Source organism: Homo sapiens, chromosome 3 (genome assembly GCF_000001405.40).
Source record: "Homo sapiens chromosome 3, GRCh38.p14 Primary Assembly".
In the NCBI taxonomy this organism is placed as follows: domain Eukaryota; kingdom Metazoa; phylum Chordata; class Mammalia; order Primates; family Hominidae; genus Homo; species Homo sapiens.
Window position 1 is genome coordinate 104275194 of NC_000003.12, and position 16110 is coordinate 104291303.

Here is a 16110-nt window from a genome sequence, read left to right on the forward strand (position 1 = left end):
TTTTGGCAATCTCATGTGACTAAACATGTCAAATAATCCTGTTTACCACTTCTCTGGATATTTCAGGGGCCCTCTGAACAATCCAGAAAGATAGACATTAGGAAAGACAATTTTGAAACTTGAAGTTTGATTTTGGGAAGCCCATTAAATGTTAGAGGTTTAAAACACTTGGTGTTATGAAATAGAATTGCATATTATCATAAATTATTTACTTTGTAGAAATTATGATTCAAAAAGCAAAAAATCCTTTTATTACCCTTTACTATTGCATGAAAATCCTGTTCAAAGCCAAATTTTATACTTGTATTAGTTTATTAATATTAACCCTCATTCTTAAATAAAATCTCATAGACAATTCCATCTAATCTTAACCAATTTGACCATGAGGTGAAATCTTTACAAGCCCTTAGTAACCCCTTTTGCTAAAGGACAGATTAGTGTATTAAGACAGCCTTGTTGTGCTTTTATTTATGTTCAGTTTATGAAAAGACTATGTAATACCCTTTTGAATTTAGTTAATGGTTACACATTTTTTGCAAGATTAATTTTTACAATCTTTTCACAATTTACTTAAACTTTAAGCTGTACCTTATTAAATTTAAGATAGTCCCTTATAACTGGGCAAAATTTACATTTCCATGCTTTCTTATAATCTTTTACTAAGAAGCACATGTTACTGTTTTTATATGTCTTGCATGTAAAACTGTTTAATGATCTCAAATACATGTTGCACTGTTAACTCTTAGCAACTTTTGCTTTTGGTGAGAAACCTGGTTAGTAAGTGATTTTAATTATGCACCAGCTTAAAGATTAAAGTCACATGAACTAAAAAATGTTTGATTTAAATGCTTATTTTTAAGGCAATTAATTTGAGCTCTTTTATAGACATTACAGATAACACATATATACCAACACAAACACAAACAGACAGAAGATTCAGCACTTGTAAGATTTTTCATTTACTACTTTCTTAATTGGTACTGGCTTCAGGGTGGAGCCTTTGGAGAAATAGGGCCAGGGAGCATGCATTTTAGGGCCTAATAAGCATAGACAGCTGAAGGCAAAGACAGATCCCTAAAAGTAAGGGTGAAAATTTATATTGGATTTTGGATCCCCAAAAGGAGGGAGAAAGTATGGGAGAATACAGTGTAGTGCTTCTGCCATGCATTTCATTACAAGGCAACCCGAAGCCAATCTGCTTATTTTGTTATCAGCCCATCCCCCATGGTAGTCTCATCTCTCAGTGTGGGTTGAGTATGTGTCCATATGTTTCTGGTGACCAAGAGCATGCTTCTCTGATTTATAACCACTCTTAGCCATCCCTTAAAGTGTATTTTCTACCAGTTATTACATATCAAAGTTCTCTCCTAGTGTGAAGTAATTTGATACCCTCAAAACTAAAAACTGTCAGATAATGCAAAACAGAACAGAGCCTTTAATTTTGAGAAAGACCTATCTGCTTTTAATTCCTTGGGTTTCCTGGGGGAAAACAGAGGGCTTTTGTTTTGTTTTGTTTCAAAACTAGGTCTGTGGTGCCTTCTCTGTTTTTTACAAGGAGTCCCAGGTTACCAGAAGTTATCTTAAAGCCTCTCGTCTGTGCATTAAGAGTGAAAAGACAAAAAATGGAGAAAATAATTCAGTCAACTGAGAAGAAAAAAAACTTTGTCCAAAAAAACAGGATCCAAGGAGAGAAAAACATGAAGGTCTTTTAAATACACCTATAACTAGAATATCCACTTTTAGTTAAGCTGAGCACTATTTAAGAAAATCCTTTTAAATCCCCTGTTACTCAACTTTAACCAGGCCAAGTAGTTAAGATATTTGGATTTTGAAATTTACAAAAAGTAACCTCACAAGTGAAACCAACAAACCTTGATTAGGTTATGACTTAACCATGAGTGTGCGAGGTATTTTCAAAGGGGTGATGTGCAGCATTTGAAATCATCACTACAAAATTGTGATGGAGATAGTGAAAGACATCCAACCTAAGCAACTCCATTTTGTTTCCAGCTCCCAAGATGTCCTTGCCTATCCCTGGGCATAGGCTGAACCAACTTTGGGAGGAGCCTGGTTTACAGTTCATAGTCTAAAACAAAGATGATAACAGCCCCTTCTTAAGATATACTTCCTTCTTGCCCAGGGACCAGATCAAGAAACTAGCCACAAGATTAAAAACCATGGCCCAGGAGCCACGCTGATGGAGGCTACAAGACTCTGATCCTCCCTCAACTGCTCTCAAGGTCAGTGCTTAAGATATTTTGTAAGCCCTATGCTTGATGGATTAGCTTGCACCACCCAGATTGATAAATTGGCTTATCTGATTTTGTGGCCCTCATCCAGAAACTAACTTAGCACAATAAGACAGCCAACATTTTAAAATGGTAGAAGCTAAAACAAAGTATTGCCACGTGGTTACAGGTCATGTTCCCAAGGACATGAAACAAGATGGAAGCCTGTGGCCAAGTTCATTATTATCATTTTGTTGGGCTGATTTGAACAGCAGGCGTATGAGGTCCGGGGCTTGCATCCTAACCTAAGATACCCTTTCTTTTGACAAAACCATACAGAAAGACACACAAAGCACACCAGATTGGCTACATCTTAAGACCAACCTCAGAAATCCTTTTTCATTAATTAAAACTTTACAGACAATAAACAATGATCCTCATTATCCCTTTTACTGGTTTGCACAGTGAGTGAGAAGCCAAAAGCCTGACTTTTAAGAAGTTTTTACCCTTTTGCTGGCATGTCAGGCTTTTGGGTTCCCTTCCTCCAGCTCAACTCTAAGCCAAGCATTTTAAGGTTTGGAAAATTAAACTTTCCCAGATTGGAAGAACATTATAAAAGAACCATTTAAACTGTGTAAGAAGGAAAAACACCAAGGACCTCAGTTAAATTGTGGAAACTTTCTAGATACCTATCAGGGTCATCAGAAAATCAGCCTAAGTCTCCTTTTATTTGCCTAAGTTCCTGTAATGAGAAGGGAACTTGAAGGGGCTCCAAAAAAAGGGTGTTCCTTACCTGGTTCCTCAGATTGTTAGAGTTGCTTCTCTAATTTTGGGGAGCCATTCTGTTTGGGCCTGCCCAAAATGATTACTATACAAAGCTGGGTTGATTGATCTTACATTAGCAAAGATTTAGTAAAAATGTCATGCCCTTGTGCAAAAGAAAGTGAGTGTTTTTTTCTTCAAAGTCCTGAGATTAAGAAAGTTCCAGTGTTTCAGAGTGCACTCCAGAGGGGTGCAAGCTGAAGATAATCTGTTACCCATCTAGAAATAGAAGTGAGAGAAATCGTCCCTTTGGTCTCCTTCCCTTCCACATGTGACCCAGGGTGGAGAAGAAAACAGTGATGGTGTCCCCCCGGCCATTTTTCCACCCTGGTTCCTGGGTCTTGGGACCCTGTTAAATGTGCTGCCCATCGTTGTAGGCATGACCCTCCAAGTCATGGAACCAAGAAATTAGACTTCTGGGCATAGTCACACTTACCCAAGTAGCCCTAGTCCTCTGTCTATTATCTCCCTTTGACTTTGTAGACTTGTGTGACCTGTGTGCCTCCCTCTCCCCCCAAAAAAAACAAAAAAAATAAAGGATCTTGGGAAAGACTATATAAAAGGCAAGACTCCTTTAATGGAGGGGATATGCTAGATTGCCTCCCATTATGGCCCATGCCAAAGTGTTTAAACTTAGAAAAATGGTTCCAGTTTACTTCTGGGCTTAAAAATCCCCTTACTAATTAGTAAGGGGAGACAGAATAGGTGCCTTAAAGGGATGCGGGGACCTAATGTTGATTTTCTTGCTGATGGGACAGTATCGGGACTAAAATTTGGCTGTGAAGGACATTTTAATTCTAATAATTGAAAGCAGAGTGTTTCCATTCACAAAAGTAGCATAAAACCTAGTTTTCAGTAGATAAGCGCAAAAACGGAAAATTGTGTATGTGTAATGTACCACAGAGAACCAACAATGTGTCCTATGAGGAGTATTTCTATTTTCATTAGGTGGCCCTGTTGACCTTAAAACACCATGTGTTCTCTAGACAGAGTGACCTTGACATGCCATGTGCTCTCCAGGCCAAGGGCAGAGAGAGACCTGGAAATGTCATGTGCTGTCCAGACCAAGGGCAGAGAGAAACATGGCAATACCATGTATTCTCTAGACTGAGAGAGAGAGAGAGAGAGACAGAGAGAGAGAGAGAGACTGTTGAGGGGGTGAGGGTGGCAGAAATCCTGTTCCTAGAAAATCACAAAGATGCCTTCCCTTGAGCTATATCCTGGGTTACTATGATAATCCCTGATCTTGTCAAATAGGATTACTTCCCTAGGCTATAAAAACTCCCACACATTCAATGCACAGAGAGAGTAAGAGACCGTGGATAGAAAAATAAGGAAAATTTTGTGACAGGATAGCTGAGGATTCTTTAACAACACCCAGAGTGGGCTGTTGGAGGCTGAGTCCAGTCCAGAAACCTCTGAATAACACCAGAGCATGCCCTGGCCAGAAATTCTCATTTGCCTTAGAACATTTCCCAGCCTAACTTGATGGCTAAGTTTTATCCATGAAAAGAGACCTGTTAGGACAGAGCCAACATTCATTCCTAGCACCCTGAAGGCACTATGGCATTGACTAAGTCTTCCTCAGCAAGCCTTACATCTGAATCTTTAAGACCAGTGGCTAGCGTTTGTGACTCATTAATCAGCTGACAAATGCCAGGATTTTTGATAGTTCTTTGAGAGAATAAACCTGAGGATGAGAAGCCTTGGAAATGAAAGTGAAAGTAGAGTCTTTTCAAGCTGATTTTCTGTTAGAAAAGAAATGTTTCAAGAGCTGTTTTTATTAAAAGAAAAAGCCTTACCAAGGAGTCTTTTTACCCTCTCTGTCTGCCTAAAACAATTTCTTAATAACTCCTTTAATGAGCTTTTCTTTCCAGGTTGGAAGGAATCCTTTTGTAAATGTGTTCTTTAGTAGACAAAATATCCTCATTGCTGCTTATAGTGTTTTAAGTTTTCATTTCCCAAATGAAGACTTATGATTGTTCGTTGCTCTTAAAATTATCATAAGTTAGTATTCAGAAGTGCTTGTTAGAGTATTCTACATAAATCTGCAGAATTACAAAAAAATGAAAGCAATAAGTGTGAATGACAAAGATTAAAAATCTGATGATGAGAGCTCACCATAATCAAAAATCAACAAGAACTTTGGTTATCTCTGTGGCATACAACATTTTAACATAACAATCTAAATTATTACTAATACCATATTAAATTATTGGGAATTTTACACAATTTTGGAAAATTCATGTTAGTATAATACTCATAAATATAACTTAAAACAAATCTAACATCCCTTACTCTTTACCAAGACTTCTCATATAATTCAATATACCAAGTGAGCCTAATTAGTTTAATATATCCCTTTCATAGATCCTTTGAGAAGTTTCAGAGCCGTCTGAAACTTTCCAAAGTGAGTTCAAAGACAAAACGACTTGTTTCAGAATTTGATTTTAAAGAAATTTGTAAAAGACATCAAAAATTTTAAAGCTCTTAATCAAAATAAGACCACAGGTGATCATGAAACAACAGTCATTTATTTCACCAGGGTGATAACTAAAAGACTTTAAAAGAAATTAGAGAAAGTTACATAGTTTAGGGGGAAAAAAAAACAAGCAAGCCTTAGACCTTTAACAGAGATCACTCAGTTTTACCACTTAATCAAAGGCCCTGATAAAAAAAAAAAAAAAAAAAAACAGGAAAAAGAAAATCATTTTGATAAGATGCAAGTCAGTTTTCCTAGGAAAACTTTTAAAATATAAAGAAAAACCTCCTGCAGTGTGATTGCTTCTCTTATGGGAAGCCCATTTAGAGAACCTGAAGTCAAGCCTGATGAAAAGTTACTTTAATTTAGTCAGAAATTGGAATAATGTGTATCTAAGGTTATGAGCACACACCATATTATAGAAGAATGTGCCACATTACAGAAGAACGTACCATATTATAGAAAAACATAAACAAGACAATTAGTACCTTGAGTAGGGGAATACACAGCTCTTAGAAAAAGTAAAAGCACATAAAATTTCCTGGTTACATGGAATAATTAAGACACATCAAGAAACCCAAGGGTATAGAATCAAGTTATATTGGAGGAAAATATTGCCCTCCTAGGCCTTTAAGGCAAACATTCTTCAGCATCAGGCCACAATAGCAGACTTAGAACTGGAAATAGGAGAATAAAAAGCTATAAGTGCCAAGACCAGCTCAATTGTGGACACAGCAGGACTACAGGAATTAAGACACACACACAGAAATATAGAGTGTGGAGTGGGAAATCAGGGGTCTCACAGCCTTCAGAGCTGAGAACCTCAAACAGAGAATTACCCACATATTTATTGACAGCAAGCCAGTGATAAACATTGTTTCTATAGATTATAGATTAACTAAAAGTATTCCTTATGGGAAACAAAGGGATAGGCCGAAAAAAAGAAATTAGCTCCCACTAATTATCTGCAGTGGAAACATGTCCTTAAGGCACAGATGGCTCATGCTATTGTTTGTGGTTCTGGAACACCTTTAAGTGGTTTTCCACCCTGGGTGGTCCAGGTATTCCTTGCCCTCATTCTGGTGAACCCAGAACCTTCAGCGTGGGCATCATGGCCATCACGAACATGGCACAGTGCTGCAGAGGTTTTGTTTATGGTCAGTTTTGGGGTCAGTTTATGGCCAGATTTCAGGGCCTGTTCCCAACATGTCCCCCTTCTTTTTCTTTTTTTTCAGTGCAATAAAAGCAAAGGCGGCTTTGTCACAGTGAGCTACTTCTTGCAGGAGTCAGGATCTGCATCTGCAGACTATACAAAAACAAATGACACAGATTAATAACACACAATCATCATTGAAATCACAGAGCTTCCAACTGTTTTTATCCATTTCAATGGATAAAAACAGTTGGAAGCTTCGAGCTTCGAGCACTCCAGTTCCTGGTATTAAGGTCAGGTGTGCCTGGGATGCTTTAAATATTTGTTCTTTTAATTTTGCAATATCCAAAGACAAGTTTGTACAGTGTCCTTCTAGATGCTTTTTTATTCTTTCCTAAATTTTGATCTTATTAAGAGCCATTAATATTTTCCACAAATCCTTATGTTTAGCTCCTAGAGTGGGCCATATCATTTGAGGTTGAGGTGCCACTATACCACCATGTTTCCAGATAATCGGAACTCTTGTCATATTTCTTACCATTTCTACCATCTGACCATTTTGTTCAGACCAGCTGAACATAGTGTGGCCATGGCATGCAGACTGAGGGGTGCAGTTTAAGCTAAACATCCCCTTAGGGGACCAATCAATAATGATTCCATAGGAATTGTTGCACAGCACCTTGGCCTATTCTGCAATGCAATCTTCCCAAACAAGTAATTTCATTATTTCTGGCCAGGTCCAATTCTGTTTACAAATAGGTTTTTGAGTGTGGTATGCCTCAATTATAGGAGCAGATTCATTATGGTAAATACTGAGATCAGAAAGCATGTGTAACTGTGTCATAGAGTGATTACATCCAGGCATTATTGCTAGCCAAGATTGATAAAAATGCCCAATAAGTATAATTGTTCTCTATGTCAGCCCTTGTTGAAGGAATACTCATGGCAAAGGTGATCACCACTATCATAGCTATCATTAAATTACTCACTGTGACTGGTTGTCCTGCTTTCCTCAGGTTTTCTTCTGCCATCTATGACAGCTTCTTGATCTGTCCCCAGGTGGGTGGCTGTGTTTGACAGGTGTTGCTCATGACAGTTGGGGTCCTCCTCAGCATCAGTCTCGACATGACTGCAACTGGTGGGTCCTCAGGATCCTCCCGGAATCTCTTCTTTGGCATCTGGCTCATGATAAGGTTTCAGGTGTCTTGATGGTATCCAAATTGGCTGCTTGTTTTGGCCTGGAGAAACGCAAGCATAACCTCTACCCAAAATTATTTTACCTATTTCCCAACTTTTTGTTATTGGATCTCTCCACCAAACCAGTTGTTCTGCTTCTGTCTTTGCAGCTGGTTTCTGTAGATGCTGTTCAGCTGCTGATAACATCTGGTCTTTAGGCAGGCTCAAAAAATTTAAAGTTAATAATGCTAGATTCAGTGGTGTCTGGGGTGTCCCGTAGTCCCTGTTTCTCTCCTTTTGCTTTTGCAACTGCCGTTTCATGGAGAGATGCATTCTTTCTACTATAGCTTGTCCTTGAGACTTATATGGGATGCCAGTAATGTGTTAATATTCCATATAGAGAAAAATGTAGCTAGAGCTTGGCTAGTATAGCCTAGGGCATTATCTGTTTTAATAGAAGCTGGAATGCCCATCACCACAAAACACTGCAAAAGGTGATGTTTAACACAGGCAGAAGACTCTCCTGATTGGCATGTAGTCCAGAAAAAGTGAGAAAAGTTGTCCACACATACATGTACATAAGCTAGTCTCCCATATGAGGGAACGTGTGTGACAGCCATTTGCCAAAGAGAATTAGGTTCCAATCCTTGAGGATTAACTCTTCCTGTAAAAGATAAGGAATGCACCATTTGCCAAGTTGGGCATCCCTGGATAATAGCTTTAGCTTCTTTCCAGGTAATGCTGTATCTGCATTTGAGACCAGAGGCATTAACATGGGTTACATTGTGAAAATGTCTAGCGCTAGATATTACAGTAGCAACTAGGCAATCAGCCATTTGATTCCCTGCAGTCAAAGGTCCTGGAAGAGGTGTATGAGCCCTAATGTGAGTGATGTAAAAAGGGTGCATTCTACTCCTGACTGCTGTTTGCAATTGGGTAAATAAAGTCATCAGTTGTTCATCTGTATGAAATCATAACTGAGCATTTTCAATTAATTGTGTGGAATGAACCACATATGAAGAATCAGAAATCATATTAATAGGCATTTTATAAGCATTCAATACGTCAATTACAGCTACAAGCTCTGCTTTTTGAGCTGAAGTATAGGGCATCTGAAAAATTTTACCTTTTGATCCAGAATAAGAAGCTTTACCATTACTAGACCCATCTGTAAAAACATTCTCAGCACCTTCAATTGGTTTAAATTTAGTTATTCTAGGGAGGATCCAATTAGTTAATTTCAAATATTGAAACAGTTTTAAGAAAATGATTATCGAGAATACCCACAAAGTCAGCTAAATGGGTTTGCCAAGTAAGACTATTTATAAAAGCTTGCTGTATTTGTGCCTTTGTGAGAGGGACAGTAATTTTTCCAGGATCATATTCATGTAATTTAACAATCTGAGTTCTCCCATTTCCTATCATAGTAGCGATTTGATCCAAATAAGGAGTTAGAGTCCGTGGATTAGTATGTGGAAGAAAAAGCCCCTCTACAAGATCTTGCTCTTTTACAGTTACACCAGTAGGTGAATGCTAAGTTGGAAAAATTAGCAAATCTAGAGTCTTCTCTGGATCTATTCTATTTATTTGGGCTCTATGGACTTGCTTTTCAATCAGCTGTAACTCTGCCTCAGCCTCCTTTGTTAATTATCGAGGGCTAGTGAGACTAGGATCTCCTCTAAGAATAGAAAATAGATTACTCATGGCATAGGTAGGAATGCCTAGAGCAGATCATTTCCAATTAATGTCCCCTAGCAATTTTTGAAAGTCATTTAATGTTTTTAGTTGATCCCTACGTATGGTTACTTTCTGTGGCACAATGGTAGTGTCATTTAATAAGGTCCCCAAGTAGGAGTAAGGAGTAGTAGTCTGAATTTTGTCAGGAGCTATAATTAAACCAGCACGAGAAATCAAATTTTGCATGTGATCATAACATTGGGGTAATATTTCTCAAGTGAGGGCAGCACAAAATATATTGTCCATGTAATGAATAATGTAACACTGTGAAAATTTTTTATGAGTAGGTTCAATTGCTTGCCCTACATAAGTCTGGCAAATTGCTGGACTGTTTAACATGCCTTGTGGCAACACTTTCCAGTGAAAACATTTAGCAGGCTGCAGGTTTTTTACTGCAGGAATTATAAATTCAAACTGTTCACAGTCTTGCTCAGCTAAGGGGATAGTAAAGAAACAGTCTTTTAAATCTATGACTATTAAAGGCCGATTTTTTGGAATCATAGCAGGAGAAGGCAATCTTGGCTGTAATGTCCCCATAGGTTGTATAACTAAATGAATGGCTCTTAAGTCAGTTAGCATTCTCCATTTACCTGATTTTTTCTTAATAACAAAGACTGGAGAATTCCAGGGGGGAAATGTTGGAGCTATGTGTCCTTTTTCTAATTGTTCAGTAACTAAGTCCTCTAAAGCCTCCAGTTTCTCTTTACTTAGCAGCCATTGTTCTATCCAAATTGGCTTATCTGTTAACCATTTTAAAGGTATAGGTTCTGGAGGCTTAACAATGGCCACCATCAAAAGTGATATCCTAAACCTTGGTGGGAACTTTGTCTTCCTGCTTCAAGCGGTTCCTTCAAACCTTGCAAGTTTTTTCCTAGTCCCATACCAGGGACATACCCCATTTCATGCATCACATGTTGACTTTGAGGGCTATGTAATTGTTCTGGAATTAGAACTTGTGCTCCCCATTGTTATAATAAACCTCTTCCCCATAAATTTATAGGTACAGAAGTTACAATTGGATGAATAGTCCCAGGTTTTCCATCGGGCCCTTCACAATGCAAAATATAACTACTTTGATGTACTTCAGGGGCTTTACCAACTCCAACTGTGTTAAATTTAGTGGGTTGACTTGGCCAGGTGGACAGCCATTGCTGTAGAGAAATGGTTGAAACGTCTGCTCCTGTATCTACCAAACCTTTAAACTTCTTTCCCTGAATAGTTATTTCACAGGTAGGATCTTTATCAGTAATTTGATTTACCCAATAAGCTGCTTTGCCTTGTTTATTTGTACTTCCAAATCCTTCTGTTAGTTTAATTTCACTTTTCCCCATTTCCACATATAGCACAATCAAGAGCTGTGCTATATGGTCTCCTGGCTCTGCTTTCCATGGAACAGAAGTAGATATAACAATTTGAATTTCCCCATTGTAATCTGAATCGATGACTCCTGTTTGTACTTGCACTCCTTTTAAATTTAAACTAGATCTACCTAGAAGTAATCCTATCATCCCCACTGGCATCATCTGACTGGAGACAGCAACATTCTTTATCATTCCCATTACAAAAGGAGAACCTCATCCATATTGATTAATAGCTTGTTTAAATTCTTTGAATAATTTAAAAGGAAAAGACTCAAATGTAGCTATGATATTTCCCTGTTGATCTGAGGGGTGTATTCTAACAGGGAACTGCCAAGCCTCTAAATCACCTTCTCTTCTAGCTTACTGGATTCCTGCCTGCATAGAACTGAGAGCGGTCACTCGAGGTGCTGCTCAAACAGTCACTGGGGCAACTACTTTTCACCCAGTGTCCTCTAGAGAAGAAAGATCTAGAGTGTCAGGCCACTCTTTTTCTTCAAAATAAGGAGGGGTACAGAAGGGTATGGATGAACCTCTTCCCCCTTTGCTGCTTTAGCTTTAGCTTGCAATCAAACCTGCTCTGTTACCCCTTCTGTTCGTCCTCATCATCAGTGTGTAAAGGTTCCAGGGCGGAAGGAACCAGAGCCCACAGTTGTCCCATTGTTACCCTGATGCTTCCAAGTTCCCCTTCTACTCACCACAGGGATTGCTTAAGAGTACTTGGGTGTCCTCCAGCTTAGTTCCACATTCTCCAACCATTGCTCTGGTGACCCTTTGACCTGAGTTCAAGCCCCACATATGGGTAACACTTGTCGAGACCAGTTTAGTCATGGAGACCCTAACCAGCGGCGCTAGAGGAATTAAAGACATACACACAGAAATATAGAGTGTGGAGTGGGAAATCAAGGGTCTTACAGCCTTCAGAACTGAGAGCCCTGAACAGAGATTTACCTGCATATTTATTGATAGCAAGCCAGTGCTAAACATTGTTTCTATAGATTATAGATTAACTAAAAGTATTCCTTATGGGAAACAAAGGGATGGGCCAAAACAAAGGAATGGGTTTGGCTAATTATCTGCAGCAGGAACATGTCCTTAAGGCACAGATCGCTCATGCTATTGTTTGTGGTTCAGGAACGCCTTTAAGCAGTTTTCTGCCCTGGGTAGGCCAGGTGATCCTTGCCTTCATTCCAGTAAACCCACAACCTTCAGCATGGGTGTCTTGGCCATCATGAACATGTCACAGCGCTGCAGAGATTTTGTTTATGGCCATTTTTGGGGCCAGTTTATGGCCACACTTGGGGACCTATTCCCAACAATAAGAGCTAACTAATCCGGGAATGGTGGCTCACGCCTGTAATCCCAGCACTTTGGGAGGCCGAGGCAGGTGGATCATGAGGTCAAGAGATTGAGACCATCCTGGCCAACATGGTGAAACCGTGTCTACTAAAAATACAAAAATTAGCCGGGCGTGGTGGTGCACACCTGTAGTCCCAGCTACTTGGGAGGCTGAGGCAGGAGAATTGCTTCAATTGGGGAGGCGGAGGTTGCAGTGAGCCAAGTTCACACCACTACACTCCAGCCTGGCAATAGAGCAAGACTTCGTCAAAAAAACAAAACAAAACAAAACAAAAAGAACTAAAAATTGAGGGAAAGAGTCACCATTTTAGTTAAATAGATAAAGATATGCCATTTTTAAGAAAAAAGAAAGTAGCCAAAGGCAATGTGGAACAAATGCAACAAAAACTGAACATCTGAGATATACATCTGAAAATCTACAAGAGGAAAACTCCATTTGAGAAATAAAATTACTATTTTAAATAAAAAAAGATAGGAATTTTAACTTAGACTTAGGGAAATTTAATGAAAACTGTAAACAGAAAAAACCCACAGATCAGAATATGGAAGAAAATTTAAAGAAACAGATTTTATAATTAAACATCAAAGCCTTCTGAATTTTTTTAATTAAGAGCAAATCAATACTCCAAGAAAACCCTGTTGTTTAATACAGGGGTCAAATTTAATTTATTCTATCAGTGTACATTTTCTACTAATGCTCAATTTTAAAAAAACTTATAGTAATTCTCTTTTAATTTTAGTCAACTTCATCACACATAAATTCTGTCTTATCAGATTGATCCTTCATAAACTTTTTCCAACTTGCTTAAGCCTTCTATCACTTGCTCAAACCCTTTACAAATTGTTTAAACCTTTAGTTTTGTCCTATGTTTTTCTTTCTTATATTTAAACAATAATTCTACCTTAAGAAAAAACTTGTATTTCTTTTTTCCTTATTATTTCAACTACACAAGACTCTTCCTTATACAAAAATACAAACTCTTTCTCTTTTTAACTTTTCTTACCAAAAATACATCCTGTAACTTTCTTTGCATCTGTCTCCTACTTACTAGTTCCTTTCTGCCTTATTTTATTTCCTTTGGAAATTCACATTTTGAAAACAATCTTTAAATAACCTTCAAACTAGACAATATTATTCTTTTTCTCAACAGAAGAACACATTTTAATGCCTTATTTATAACTTTTCTCATCTAAAACACATCTTTTCTTCTTGTATAAGTTCCAAATAGAATTACACGTTAATTAGAATATCTAGCTCTTAGTAATCTTTTTAGTGAAAACCTAGAAAGGAATTTTGAACTGTTTTTTACATACAAAATATGTATGCTTTTTACGTACAAAGTATGTATGTAAAAAACAGTTCAACATTTTCTATTTTTTTTAAATTGAATGCAAATATAATGTCTTCTATGAAATGTAGAATGCCAAAAGTAAATAAACTTGAACCTATGATTAAAAATTAATGTTCCCATATTTTAACTTCTTAGAAATAACTCATTTATGAATATCTATTGTTTAAGATTTCAAAAAATTTTAATTCTAAATGTTTATCCCATTTACACTTACATGATTTATTAATTCTTTATAATTATACTTAGCTTACTTGGAAAAACTGAGATACCTGACCAAGCTAGTCATCATTTTGAGCTATTTACCTGGTAGGGAAAGACCCTAAAGGTTAAATACATTTTTTTTTTTGTTTCACTGCTATGCTTGATATACAGGTAACAATGGCCACTGCACTTTTATCTGCAATCTTGTCATTAGTTCAAACTCATACGTTTATGATCTAAAATATGTAATGTAATCATCTGATGGGTTTTTTTCTGTCTTCTGCACAGACAAAATCAGTTTACTGACACTCTGGTACTGTAGTAGAGAGATAGTATAACTGTCACAAGGCCAGCCCACATGGGAGAACTACAGTTATCACTTAAATCAGTCTCTCCCAAGGCTTGGAGTTCATATTTTTTATTGACAATTTGGTGGGCAGGCGGGTAGGGGATGGTTGCTTCCTATTAGTTGGAGATGAAATCATAGGGGTGTGGAAAACAGCCCGAGGTGCTGAGTCCACCTCTAGCTAGGGCCACAGGATTAGTTAAGTAATGGTTTATAAGCCCAGGTGGGGTTGGTCTCACAGATATTTTAAAACACCAATTTCAGGTTCTACAGTAGTGATGTTATCTATAGCAATTGAAGGAGTCACAAATCTTCTGACCTCTGGCCACATGACTCCTGAGCAGTAATGGATTATAGTAACTATATTTTAGCAGAGTTTGGCCCCTCCCATAATCATATTCTTGCTAATGAAGGTGGTTGTCAGTCCCTGTGCAAGGAGGAGGTTAGTTTTAGGGAGGAACTATTATCATGCTTGCTTTCAAGTTAAACTAAAAATTAAATTTCTTCTAAAGTTAAATTGACCTATGCCCAGAAATGATCAAGGACAGCTTGGAGGTCAGAAGCAAAATGACTGATTTATTTTATTGTCATAATTTTGCAAAGGTGGTTTCACTGACAGAAATAAAGATATCTGTCTGCATCATATTTAATGCTGAAAACTCTGAAAATATGCCTGCTTTACTTAAATTGATAATATTACATTGCCAGTTTTTTACTGAAGTCACATGAAATTGAAAGATATTTGAGTTAATTACTTTTTTGCTGATTACTTATTTAAATTTTTTTCTTTAAGGCAACTAAATAGAACTTTTCAAATGTGTTTTTGTAGAAAAAATACTATATACATATAACATAAACATATAAAAACATACAGACAACACAAATAAAGCTCATATGTTTTTCATTTTAACGTTTCAGTAATAAAACAGTAAAATATAGTAATATAAACTTACCAGTTTTAAAAGAACATTTGGATTTAAGCTATGCTTTAGATAAAATAAGACAAATCACCTGTAATCCCAGCACTTTGGGAGACTGAGATGGGCGGATCACTTGAGGTCAGTCCTGGCCAACATGGTGAAACCTCGTCTCTACTAAAAATAAAAAAATTAGTTGGGCGTGGTGATGGAAGCCTGTAATCCCAGCTACTCGGGAGGTCAAAGCATGAAAATCACTTGAACCTGGGAGGCAGAGATTGCAGTGAACCCAGATCACGCCACTGCACTCCAGCCTGGGTGGCAGAGGGAGACTCCAGCTCAAAAAAAAAAAAGAAAAAAGAATAGGACATGTTAAGGTTACCTTTTCAAATGGTTAAATTTTGAGATTTGTATTTGCCCTTGATAGGTAATCTTATGAAGACAATGGACCAAATTTATCGTGGAGAAGTAGATATTTTTTTCCTTTACTTTTCCCTCTCTTCTTTTAGTTTTAAATTAGTGTAGGGGTTAATTCCTTATATGTTTTTGTTTCACTACAATTCCATAAAAATATCTTTAAGCAGGCTTTGATGTCCATAACACCATATCTCTATTTATGTTTCAATTTGTAAGACAAGGACAATTGCAGCAGTAAGTTTTATCTTAACACATGTGAAAAAGTCAGCAGATTCAGAGTAAGCGAAGTAAAAACAGACTGAGAGAGGGTAGAAGTCTCTACATGCAAGCATTCCAGTCAAACTATTTAACCCCAGAGTTGTATTATTATTTTTTTAAATTCTAGCTATAAAAGAAACAAGCTTAGGGAGTTCAAATAGTCCTCATAATGGCCATCAGCTCTAAATTATCTTTGATGTAATGTTTCCATCGATTTAAAATGTGCACAAGAATAAGTCTTAATATTAGAACATACAACCAGCTTAAGTACTTGAAAGCCTGGCATGATTTAATAATTGAGAAT

General features: G+C 37.4%; 1 long non-coding RNA gene across 1 annotated transcript; it reads right to left on the reverse strand.

Annotated features, from left to right (window-relative positions):
• Positions 1–5565: 5565 nt before the first annotated feature.
• LOC124909492 (uncharacterized) lies at positions 5566–11984 on the reverse strand. Its single transcript, XR_007096270.1, has 2 exons — positions 7675–11984; positions 5566–6838 (listed from the first exon to the last, which is right to left on the reverse strand). It is a non-coding gene; the product is annotated as an uncharacterized LOC124909492 (long non-coding RNA).
• Positions 11985–16110: the final 4126 nt, after the last annotated feature.